At 44.9% G+C, this 12556-nt stretch overlaps 1 protein-coding gene and 1 pseudogene across 17 annotated transcripts in view; one reads left to right on the top strand and one right to left on the bottom strand.

Annotated features, from left to right (window-relative positions):
- The window catches only part of REPS2 (RALBP1 associated Eps domain containing 2), a 249998-nt gene that overhangs the window by 60544 nt on the left and 176898 nt on the right, over positions 1-12556 (bottom strand). For 16 of the 17 annotated variants that reach the window (XM_017029956.3, XM_011545603.3, XM_011545606.3 and 13 more), the window contains 2 exons: positions 2205-2288; positions 706-851 (listed from right to left, as the gene is read on the bottom strand). In XM_017029956.3, coding sequence (XP_016885445.1) covers positions 706-851; positions 2205-2288 — 230 coding nt within the window. Of the gene's footprint in view, positions 1-705; positions 852-2203; positions 2289-12556 lie in introns of those variants that run through there. The other variant, XM_047442628.1, reaches the window with a different exon arrangement.
- Positions 2714-3271, top strand: HMGN2P45 (high mobility group nucleosomal binding domain 2 pseudogene 45; annotated as a pseudogene).

Raw genomic sequence — 12556 nt, 5'->3', positions numbered from 1 at the left:
CAGGAGCAGGTTTCTGTCCTCAACACCTCCCTCAATTTCACTACAAAGAAATTGAAGCAAGTGATGGCTCTTCTCAAAGCCAAAGTTTTACAGAGAAGGATAGTTTGTCCAGAGCATCATTGTCTCAGTCCCTGGCCATGTCCACAGGTGTCTTCACCCTCCCTCCAATACCTGTTCCAGCTGGTTAGATAAATATAATGGAAGTTCTGCATGTATCCATTCTGTGCTGAGGCGACCAACAACAGAAACTCTTTACGGAGATTTTAAAAGAATCACATACCACACCTACTGAAAGTGTGTCTGTGGGTGAAGGAGCTAGCCATTTGCCCTGAAGGAAAAGGAGATAACACAGGCAGAGAGGCAAAATTGCCACTTACAATACTTTCATCTTGCCAGGAAAATTTGGGCCCTCACAAGGAAGAGGAGTAGGAAACAACAGAAGGTGAGAGGAAGGGAAAGAAATCAAACCAAACCAAACACCACAGCCTAGGACTCGCCTGCCCCTTTAGGTCAGGTTAAGTCCTATAGCTTATAAAGCCTTCTATGTGACTGGGAGACTTGAATCCCATCACAGAGATGAGCAAGATAAACTTACAACCATGAAATCCTTCTGTTGGTGCGCACGTAAATGTCAACACATTTACATATCCGTCGACATCTCAGAGCGAGATTCCTACCTCACTCTTGTTTATGTGGTCTACTTACTTTTGGACTGTTGGATGCGGTTTCATGGTTGCCGCAGAAGCTGGCCCACTTGCAGCAGTGGAAGGCTCTTGGTTTTCTGTAGCTTGGTTTTCTGGTCTGAATTTCCTACGAATGGGCTTTGATGGTGGCTGAGAATACAGTACATCCTGTGGATTTAAAACAAAATAAAAATTAAAAAGTTAAACATTTCAATGTTCCCTCCACTCTTCCTTCCAGTGTCCCACATGCCTTTAGCCCCAACCCCAAGATCAGGAGGGTACTCTATTTACTGACCCATGGCTCAGCAAGAACTGGGGGGACACAGGCATCAGAGTCCAGTGGTCTTCCCTTTTTTCTTTTTCTTTTTAAATGTTTCAAGAAGTCTATTACTTCTTGTCACCTGAAACTCACACAGACCCTGTGTGCATCTCACACCATGGGGCCTTTCCTAACTGAAGACAAGATAGGCTCCTGCCTCACTTTGAAGCCTTTTAAACCTAAATTTTGGCCGGGCGCAGTGGCTCATGCCTGTAATCCCAGCACTTTGGGAGGCCGAGACGGTCGGATCACGAGGTCAGGAGATCGAGACCATCCTGGCTAACACGGTGAAACCCCGTCTCTACTAAAAATACAAAAAATTAGCCGGCCTGCTGGAAGATGCCTGTAGTCCCAGCTACTCGGAAGGCTGAGGCAGGAGAATGGCGTGAACCTGGGAGCTTGCAGTGAGCCGAGATCGCGCCACTGCACTCCAGCCTGGGCAACAAAGCGAGACTCTGTCTCAGGAAAAAAAAACAAAAACAAAAACAAAAAAAAACCTAAGCTTTGGAAGTTTTTAAAGGTCTTAGTCATATGCTCATCATTCTCCTATCCCCAATTCCTACATAAAGTCAAGAAAAAGAGCCACAGTGTATTCTGGAAGGACACAGTTGGTCTGCTTCTTTGGAGGACTCTACCTCACCTGTGCTCCTGAGCCCAAGGCCCACTCTCTCTGAAAGAAGAGCCTGGGAGAAGGACAAGAAGAGGGTGAGGAGATGAATGGAGAGCATGATGAGTGAGGGGTACTTACTGAGCAAATTACAGGTGACCCAATGGCATGGCTGGGCAGATGCCAGGTGAAAATGCCACGATGCAAGAGGAAACCATGGTACAAAGACCAAAAAGGAGAGACTACCCCACCCCAAGAGGTATTCACAGAGGCTTAGCAGGTGGATGGGGTTTTGCTAAAGACATCTGTCCCTCCCCACAGCCCTTTTAGCTCTTGCCATAAACAAGGCCACCATGTTTAGCTGGGGGGCTAAGGAGGTTGAGTATGTACTGTCATGTACAAAATGCATCAAGGGTCAAGCCCAGGAATCTTCAGGACCCCAATCTTCACAAAGAACCCACATTCTAGGAAATCTGGATCATTGACATTCATTTCAGGACACAGAAACCTTAAAACAATAGATCAGCTAATAGAGATAAGAAGCCCGGGGTGGGACTCGCAACGCCATCTGACAGCATCCTCAGGCTGACCTTACCTTCTTTGCTGGACTACTTTCTGCAGCCTGGGATGGGGCTCTGCTCAGCTGTGGGAGTAACTCGGCCTCCGACACTTGTTCAGACTGTAGCAAGAGATCAGAGAGAGGACAGAAATGCAAAACCACAATCACCTAAATATACAATAAAGAGCACTTAGGAAGATAGTCACCAAGGGAAAACTGATTTAGGCCAAGTTGCAGCCAAGAATGCTTAAGTCTGCTGATCCTTGGGAAAAACCTCCCATAGATGCTGCTATTAACCTTCCCATCCCTCCTTCCCAGATTGTTCAACCTTAGGAAAAGGAATCATGGGAATTTCTTCTGTAATTGAACATATGTATTGCTAAAAAACTAATGCTTCGCAACAACAAACTCTAAAAGTAACAAGGCTTATCGGAAAAACAGGGTTGAAAACAAAGATTTTAACTTGAGCACCAACAAAAACAATCAACATCATTAAAAACACTGAATTTTTTAAATGTTAAATTTCTAATAAAGAAATACTCTATGAGCAGTGTGAAGAAGAAGAGGTAAGAACTATCCCCCAGGCCAACCAAAGCCCACGCACTGCTGCATCCCCAGATCCAGCACCTACATTCCACTGCAGTCGCCTCCACCATGCCCAAGAGAAAGGCTGAAGGGGACGCTAAAGGAGATAAAACCAAAGTAAGGACAAACCACAGAGAAGATCTGCAAGGTTGTCTGCCAAACCTGCTCCTCCGAAGCCCAAGCCTAAAGAGGCCCCTGCAAAGAAGGGAGAGAAGGTAAAGGGGAAAAAGGAAAAAGCCCATGCTGGCAAGGAGGGGAATAACTCTGCAGAAAATGCAGAGGCCAAAACAGAGCAGGCACAGAAAGTTGAAGGCGCTGGGGATGCCAAGGGAAGTGTGTGCATTTTTGATAACTGTGTATTTCTGGTGACTGTGCAGTTTGAAGTATTATTTTTTTATTAAGTTTTATAAAAATGCAGAATTGTTTTTATGCCTTTATTTTAAGCCATGTTGTTAGCACACGGAACACGTCATTGTTGTTTTATGGAGAAGGGGTATATGTCACTAATAGAATGTCTCTGAGGCCAGGCACCGTGGCTCATGCCTGTAATCCCAGCACTTTGGGAGGCCGAAGCAGGCGGATCACCTGAGGTCAGGAGTTTGAGACCAGCCCGACCAACATGGCGAAACCCCGTCTCTACTAAAAGTACAAAAACTAGCCAGGCGTGATGATGGGTTCCTGTAATCCCAGCTACTCAGGAGGCTGAGGCAAGAGAATCACTTGAAGCCGGGAGGCGGAGGCTGCAGTGAGCCAAGATCGTGCCACTGCACTCCAACCTGGGCAACAAGAGCAAGACTTCGTCTCAGGAAAGAAAAAAAAGAAAAAGAATGTCTATGAAGCTGGACTGATGTGGAGAAAACACCTTTCCCTTCTAGTTTTAAAGACATCTTCTTGGCTCCCAGAAAGAGGGACTGTCTGACGTTGACACACACAGTCACCTTCGCACAAAGGCCTTGTGGTGTGGAGAAACAAATTCCTCTTTATTTCCCCCTCTCCCTCTCTGCCTTCAGTATACACTTAACTCCCTCAAACCCAGATACCTGTTGGGGTCTGGCCCCCAATAACTGGTTACCAGTCAGGCTGGCAATCTGGACTTTCCAGCGAGAACCCTTGAAAGACACGTGCTCTGTTTCTAGATTGTGGATCTTCAGATAAATTCTGCCATTTTCATTTCATTTCCTGAAAGTCAGGGTCAGCTCATGAAAAGTTGTTAAACAGCACGTTGAATGTGAAATGTCAACCCTCACTCTGAACTTTCCCTCTTCAGGGTACCAAATGAAGACTTCATTGGGTTTTACCATGGCTTTCTGATTTTGGAAGTCCATTGAAGGAGGGAGTCTGAAAGTTGTATACTGTTAATGATTGTCGCTCATGTCCTGCCTGAAATACCATGACTGTTCACAAAAAGTATCTTTAATAAACCTGGACACAGTTTGGGAAAAAAAAAAAAAAAAACTCTAGTAAATATGGCCCTTCTTAAAAAAGGAAGGGGGACTGTGGTCGAAGGAGTTATCAGAAGGGTCAAGGGTGCTGAGTGGAATGGAATCAGTGACTAAACTCACCAAGATTGGCAAGGAATGTCCCCAAAGCACTTCAAGACAGAGTGGGTGCCAATCAGTCAAGTGGAAGAACACAGGGTGACTGCGCCTCATGAGCAGCTCTCTATGTCCCCCATTTCCCCCAGTCTTCTGCCTTCAGGTGTGTTAGTCTGCTTTCAGCCACTAGTAGCCAGTGATGCCAAAACATTCATGTGCTGAGAATGAACCCTACATATGAACCAATGTGACTTCTACATCATACTGACACCAGTCATCTACTGACCCACAGATAATCCTCATTACAGAAACACACATTGTAGCACAACAAACTGACTTAGTATGCCCACTTCATCCCTAACGTGGCCTTCTCTAACCTCCTTCAGAGCATGGCTTCTTCCTCTGACTCCACTGAAATGGCTAGTTCCCAAGGGCGCTAACATACCCCCATTTAACACGTTATGGCTACCTCTTCTCGTCTTCTCCTCATTGATCTTCTGCCCAGTATAGCACCTTTGACTATCTTTTTTAAACTCCTGCCCCTGGCATCTGAGAAGCTGCAATCTCCTAACTGTAGTCATTCACTCTTTTTCCTGTTTTGACTCCTCTTATCCCTCAAATGTAGGATTTCTCAAGGTTCTGTCTTTAGTTGCTCCACCCATTTTTCCCTCCCTGTTCATTCTCTCCCAGGGTAATCCCATCTGTTCCTACATTTTATCCCAAGCAATTCCCCATCTCCTCTAAATCCACTATGCAAGCACTCAATATTCCTGACTTCTAGTTCCAACTAGTTCTTATAGCTTTCTCCCTTCCATTAACGATAACTATATTGTTGTTGTTGTTACTAATAGGTACTATGATGCACACAACACTTACTATGTGTCATACATTGATCAAAGGGCTTTGCATGGATCATTGCAATTCATCATCACAGCCCTAGGAAGTAGTTATTATCCCCATCTTATTGGTGAAGAAATTGAAGATCAAGAAGTTAAGGAACTCACCCAAAATCACACAAATAGCAGAGTCTGAACACAGGCCTTGATTTCCAAAGCTAAGCTTATAACCACTATGCCATACAGTCTCAGGTATTCTCAGGCCTGAGTGTTACTCATTCAAGACATATTTATTAAGCAGCTACTACAGGCAGGCCCTGTGCTAGCACTGGCACTCAAGGATGAACAAGATACAGATCCTGCTTAAGAGAAGCTTGAAGTCTAGTGGGAGCAACAGGGAAGTGACAAAGCCAACTTGCTTCAGTGGACTGTGGAGGGCAAGTATGGGGAATACAGAAGCACCCAGTCTCATGGGTCGGCAAAGACTCAGGAGCAGGTGATGTCTCAGCTGAGGCCTGGGCTAAAAGAGCAATGTGTGGGAATGGTGAGAAAGACCCAAAAGTAAGTTCACAAAGGGCCTCCCATGCTCCAACATCCATAATTTCAGCCAGGGCTACCACAAGAACACTAAGGTCAATCCCCAAGATGGGAAACACAGGAGAAGCAGGAGTGAGGGGGAACTCATCTTTAGGCAGATTGAGTTTGAAGTACCTGGGAAACAACCAAGCAAAGCTGTCCAGGAGCCATTCACTGCCAGGAGTCTAGGGAACACAAGCCCTCACCCTGCTTTCCCTGGAGGTTCATACAAATGGACGCATACTCCAAGCTCTATGAGCCAAAAGTCAGTTTTATTAACAGCTGAAGGAGGGCCCAGTAACCCCCTGAATGCAGGGCCTCCTGTGAACCCCACTGAAGAATGCAACTTGAACCTGAGGCCCCTTCTTGCCTTTTACCTAGAAATCTATTGCTTGGAAGGTAATATATGTTCTGGCCCAAGTCTACGCATGCAGCCTCCTGCAGGGACCACAGGTATGCAGCAATATCTTGCAGCAGGCAGGCAGAGAGAGGATAATAATTTCAGGCTCTCTGCCTTTCAGTTAGTTGGTTCTCCTCCATCATCAGGTGGACAGAGAAGTGTTTGCTCTACCACTCCATTCCCTGGTGAGATGAGCAAAGTCTCCTTGTGGAAATATCCAAGGAGATGATAAATGGACCCTTTTTCAACATAAATGAGGATTCCAAAGCACAGCAGAGCGTCTTTGTTATTGCCTCCTTTTCTCTTAAACATCTCTAAAAACACAAACAATAGGGTGGGGGATGAGGAAGCAGCTGTGAGATGTGTCTTAAAATGTTTTTCATTTGCAAATTTACCTTCCTGAACTTGTATGCAAGGGCCTGGGTTTTCCAGCTCTATGTCTGGTAACAGACCACTGCATGGTGTTATGTCAGGCTAAATCTGACCATCAATCCCCTAAATTGATCCATCTATCAAGCATTCGGAGGAGCGAATCTCAGGAGGGACCTGGAACACAGGCATTAGGAAGGTCCCAGAATAAGGCACAGCCTTGACAGAGCCAGACATTATCCCAGGAAAAGAGATGGGCAAAGATAACCGGCTGTGTGATAAGAAAAACTAAAGATGAGATTTAGGCATGTAAAAGACCCTCTTCACAATAAGCTTTCCTTCATAAAAATAGTTTGAGGCTTATGTTAGGCTTGGGATGTGGAAAGCAGAATAAGGTGGGGAGGTTTCTTTGCTATTTCTTGAGACTTTTCTTAGTTACCAACTTTGGAAGAATGATAATCCAAGAAAACAAGGGGCCTCAGTGGTTCTCTTCCTCCTCTGTGTATTTGGGGTCATGGGGAACAACTCTGCCAACACGATAATATGGCTTTGTCCGACAGTTTTGGTTTTCTGAACTGAAATCCAGTGACTGATTCTTGTGGGAAAAAAACAGATATATGGATTACAATTAATATAACAAATGGCAGTTCTGCCCTCACGGTTCCATGTGTAACAACATGTACCCAGTCAGGATGTGACAAACCAGGAAAATGTACTTTTAGCAAAGAGCTCACTGAAATGTGAGCTAAAGTTCCTTTTAAAAATATATAATATTGTAATATTAATACTTCCTTATTCACAAATGGCAAATATACTTTCACTCTAATTTTGCAATGAAAATCCTGGACTTAGACAGTGCTGCCACTCATGATGTGGCAAACTGTCCTGGGTCTTCGACCATTCCCATGGTTGATGGGACAATATGATCCCTGCTGAGCTGACTTCCCAGAAATGGACACAGGTCCAGAGAGGCTAAGCATTTCTATGCATTCATTTATTCAATTACACAGATATTTTTTTCGTACCTCTGGTATGTCAGGGACCATGGTAGGTGCTTGGGACATGGGTACGGGGAGGCCCACTGTAGTAGGTGCTGTGTTGGCCCCACCTGGGTCACCTTTCCCTGGCTGGCACACCATCCCCCAGCTGCTCTGAGTGTTAGCTACTGAGGACTCACAGCCACCCTCTTCTCTAGAGACTTATTCTCAACTAATGGGAGCCTACCTCCCACCCCCACCTCCAGCAGCCTATAATGACTGACTTAGAGAAGGATATAAAAGGCCAGTCCCCTGTCTCAAACAGGGTTAACTCTATTATGCAATTATGTACCAGAATCCTGCCTGTGTGGATCAGGCCAAGGTCAGATTTTATCTGAGACTATATCATTGCTTGGCTCCTTCCCCTTCCCTACTTTTCTTCCCTCTCCTCCTTCTAGGTTTTTTCCTAAAGAGCACTCCTTCAACAAATCACTTTTGAAGAATCCTCATCTCAGGGTTCTGCTTCTAGGGAAGCTGACCTGAGACACTATGCAACGTACTCCCAGGAGAGGGGACTGAAAGCACTCTAGTATGCTCCTCCTTGTTGTCTCTGTTTCTATCTCTATCTCTCACTCTCATATCACTTGTTCTGGAGACAGTCAGCTGCCACATTGTGAGGACACCCAAGCAGTCCTAACAAGGGGTCCATACAGCAAAGAAGTGAGGCCTCCTGCCAACAGCCCTGTGAGTGAGCCATCTTAGAGGTGGATCATCAGCTCCAGTTAAGCCTTCAGATGACTGCAGCCCTGGAAGACATCTTGACAGAAGCCTCATGAGAGGATGTAACCCCGAACCACCCAGCTAAGTCACTCCCAAGTTCCTGACCCAAAGAGACTGTGAGTTCGTAAATGTCAGTTGTTTTAAGTTTCTGGGGGGACAAAAAGGCATCCTGATATATCTAGAATTTGGGGACTTGCAGGGTGGAGGAAGGGTGAGGAGTCAGGAGAAAAATGGGAGAGCTGAAGCTGGAGAAGGGCAGCAGGGGATAACACATGGTTTCCCAGACCTGGTTTGTTCTGGGTCATTTGCTAAACACTCAACACCATCCCCCATTTCCATGCCCTTCTCTATGCCACAGCAGGCAGAAGCCTGGAAATATCTACTCCTTTTCTTAAGTAACTAATTCCTTAAATTAAATCTCTTCCAGTACGAAATACCAGGAGTAGTTTCTGTTTGCCCAACCAGACTGACACACATCCATCCTGAGGATCTGAGCTTATCCTGAGGGCCACAGGGACCACTGAAGGATTTTAAGTAAGGAATCAATCTGACTAGATTTGTATTTTACAAAGGTTATTCTAGATTCAGTGAGTAAAAAGGACTAGAGGTAACTCATATCTGGGGAAAAGGAACCTAATTCGAATGCTGAAAAAGAAAAGATGACGGTCATGTAGGCCAGGTTGGTAGGAATGGGTTCGGGCTGACTTAAGAGCTACCCAGACTGGAAATTGAAGACACCCTTGGCCATTTTTGGAATGTTGTGAGTGCAAGAAAAGATAAGGACACATGGAACCCAGGTTTGGATCCTGGATAATGGGTAAATGGTTGAGAGATAAAGTAGTTTAAAGCAAGAGGCAGGAATGATGGCAGTATGGAAACAGAATAAAATGAGGCAGATTTATCATAAAGCAGTGCTAGAACAACCCATGTATATCTTCTTCTAGTAGCATCTCTGAAAGGGGGTACCAGGAAGCACCAGTTCCATGAATTGTCTAGAGCAGGGATTAGCAAACCTTTCTGTAATGGGCAGATAGTAAATATCTTAGGCTTTGAGGGCCAGACTACCTCTGTAGCCACTCTGCAACTCTCCTGTTGTGCTAAAGCAGCTACAGACAATACGATGAATGGGCACAACTGTGTTCCAATAAACTTTATTTACAAAAAAAAAGTGGTGGGATAGATGAGGCCTATGAGCCATAATTTGTCAGCCCCTGGCCTAGGGGGAAGAAGAATCTACAGATAAGCTTAGGAAACACTGCCTGGTCTATCTCCCTCTTGGAGATTCACTGAGCACACAGAACATTACACACTCTGAAATTCTGAAAGGAAGTCACTTGCCTTTGCGTAGCCCATCAGTTCCCAAATTTATTTGGTTTCATCTCCTTATTCTCATGTAACTTCTATTAACATCCTGAAGAACTAATGTTCTGTGGAACATACTTTGAGAAACATTGACTATAGACTGGATTTTAGAGGAACAAAGGAAGAATATTCTATTTGACTTAATGCCAAACGCCATATTCCACACCTAACCCTTGGGGAGGTGCATTCTCCACTGTGGTTGGCAGATCCAACTCCAGGGGCCCCTGTTGCACTCCCCTCCCCTCTCGCTTTGGCTTAGAGTATGGAGACAGGGTGAGAATGAGGTTGCTGCCTGGCCAGAAGGGGGTCCCTTCTCCCTGCGGTAGCAGCTGTTGCTGCTGCCAACTACTTCTTTGCATGAATTTATTTACAGGGCTCCTTTAAAACCTCTTGGACAAAAACACAATAAAAATAGTTAATTATAATAGTTTAGGCAGATGAACATGACATTAATAAATTATGCATTTTTTAAGGAGTTTAAAACAGTATGTCTCAGATTCCAGTTCCACTGAGGCAGGTTAGCTTTACAAAGGTCCCACTGGTCCCATCTGAGTCCAGGTACTCGTCACACTTATCACCTGGGCCACTGCAAAGACTTCACTGGGTCTTTTTCCAGCCTTCAGTTCTAGTGCACTCTGATCCACCCTGCACACCACTGAGAAATTAATCTGGTAAAGCACCATCTAATCAAAATGCTTTTTCTCAAAGCCCTTCACTGGCTCCCCAAAGCCTATGGCACACAACACAATCCCTCAGCCAGTTAAAGGTCTTCCATCCTCTGGCTCCAATTTACCTCTGCAACATAACTGGGTTAGTTCGCCCATATGGAACCTGCTCCAGGCATATAGGTATTCCCCAAATCTTCAAGCACATCAGAAGTTTCTCCCTAACTTAATTATGTTTGTTCTAGACCCTCTAGCCCAGTGGCTCCCAAATATAACCAGAGCAGGATAATTATCTGGGGAACTTTTTATAAATTCAGATTTGTAGATGCTATTCCAGACTTCCCTCATCAGAATCCCTTAGGGATGGGGCATTAGAAACTTATATTTTAACAAGCACCCTAAGTGATTTTTATGTAGCCAGCCCAGATCAACTGGGAACCACTGATGGTCCAAACTCTTCATTTAAGAGATGAGAAAACCAAGTCTCCAAGGCCCTAGTCTGGGCAAGGCCACAGGTGCTCTTGCAAAACTAACTAGGCTTCTTAATTGTTTTCTCATCCATTCATCATAGAGGGAATGGGGGTATATGCCACATGGTTCTATAGATAAATATTTGCAGCTGGGCAAAATCTTCAGCAGTAAGATTTTGTTTAAAAGTCAAATTTGCAACCAAAAAAAAAGTCAAATCCCACTTAAAAAATAGTCTGGCCGGGCATGGTGGCTCACGCTAGTAATCCCAGCACTTTGGGAGGTGGATCACTTGACACCAGGAGTTTGAGACCAGCCTACCAACATGATGAAACCCCGTCTCTACTAAAAATACAAAAATTAGCTGGGCGTAGTGACACGCTCCTGTAATCCCAGCTATTCAGGAGGCTGAGGCACGAAAATCACTTGAACCCGGGAGGCGGAGGTTGCAGTGAGCTGAAATCTCGCTACTGCACTCCACATTCCAGCCTGGGTGACAGAGCAAGACTCTGTCTCAAAAAAAAAAAAAAAAAAGAAGTCCATCTGTAGAACTTTGCCAAGGTGTGGATAATAGGTAACTTTTTTTTTTTTAGGTTTGCAATATTGGCAGGTCAGAAAAACGAACTCAGGCTTTATCATCCAAGGATCCAGGTGGATTCCAAGAATGGGGATCACAAAGGCAGCAGCTAAATTCTAGGCAGACAAGAAGACAATCCTGCTGCTGCCTCCAGGGCCTTTCCAGCATTCTGTCAGTATTCTAAATGTCATTTGGTGCCTAGTTTTCACCTGTCCCCCATCTCCGCTAGGCAAGAACACAACAGAAAGCCATTTGCTAAACCCAGTCACAGAAGATGTAGAACCAATGGCCCAGCACACCACTGTTCCACCCCATCATTCCCCAACCAGGCTCAGAGAGAGGGGTAAATAGAGCCTCAAGAAGGTCCAAGAGACTGAATTCTCAGCAAGAATGATTACCAAAATCCATGACTCAAGTCACCTGTGAGAGACAGAACATGATAAACGAATGGTAAGCACCTGGAGGGCAGGATCTGTCTTGCTTCCCTATCATTTTCTTGATACCTAAGCTGCATGCCAGCAAACAACAGGTCCTCTAATCAATGTGTGGAATAAGCCAGCAATGAACCCAATACTGTTTCATGTTCCACTGGAGAAGAGGTCAGTAATTCATTCCTTGGTAACTGCACCCACAGAGCACAGAACAGTTACAGGATATAGGCTCTGGAGTCAAACCCAGGCTTTGCAGTTGCTCATTGTGTGAGCTGGTCACATGCTTAGTCTCTCTGAGCTGCAATTTCTTCATCTGCAAAGTGGGATAATTCACCTAACTCACAATATTGTGAAGATTAAGCAAAATATCTGTCTAGTGTGCTAAGCACAATTACACAGTAACTGTTTGACAACAGCAGCTACTATTATCATTAGGATTAAAATTATGATTGGTTTCCCAGGCATAGTTCCTCCTACTGCAAGCAGCAGCCAATCCAACATAAGGGCATTTTCCTCCTTGCCAAACAGATGAAAACCTAGGCTGAGAAAATGCTGGCTCCAATTTAGAATATAAGCAGATCCCACAAAGCAGGCTATCCACAGTCTAAATCTGTGCCACTGGATATTACCGCTACTAATATTGGGGGGAGAAAATTTTAAAAATAAAAGCCCGGTCAGACTTTCATGTTTCACGGCTGCTTTAACATGGATATCTCAGGCAGTGTGCAGTGAACATCTCTGGTGGGCACCCCCCTCGGTAGACCAATCCAACACTGGAGACACTCAGGAAAACACTGACAGAGGGGCTCAGGAACAACTTTGGTGAA

The sequence above is a fragment of the Homo sapiens genome, chromosome X (assembly GCF_000001405.40).
Source record: "Homo sapiens chromosome X, GRCh38.p14 Primary Assembly".
NCBI classification, from domain to species: domain Eukaryota; kingdom Metazoa; phylum Chordata; class Mammalia; order Primates; family Hominidae; genus Homo; species Homo sapiens.
Note: the sequence above shows the minus strand (reverse complement) of the source record. Positions and strands in the feature narration are given on the sequence as shown.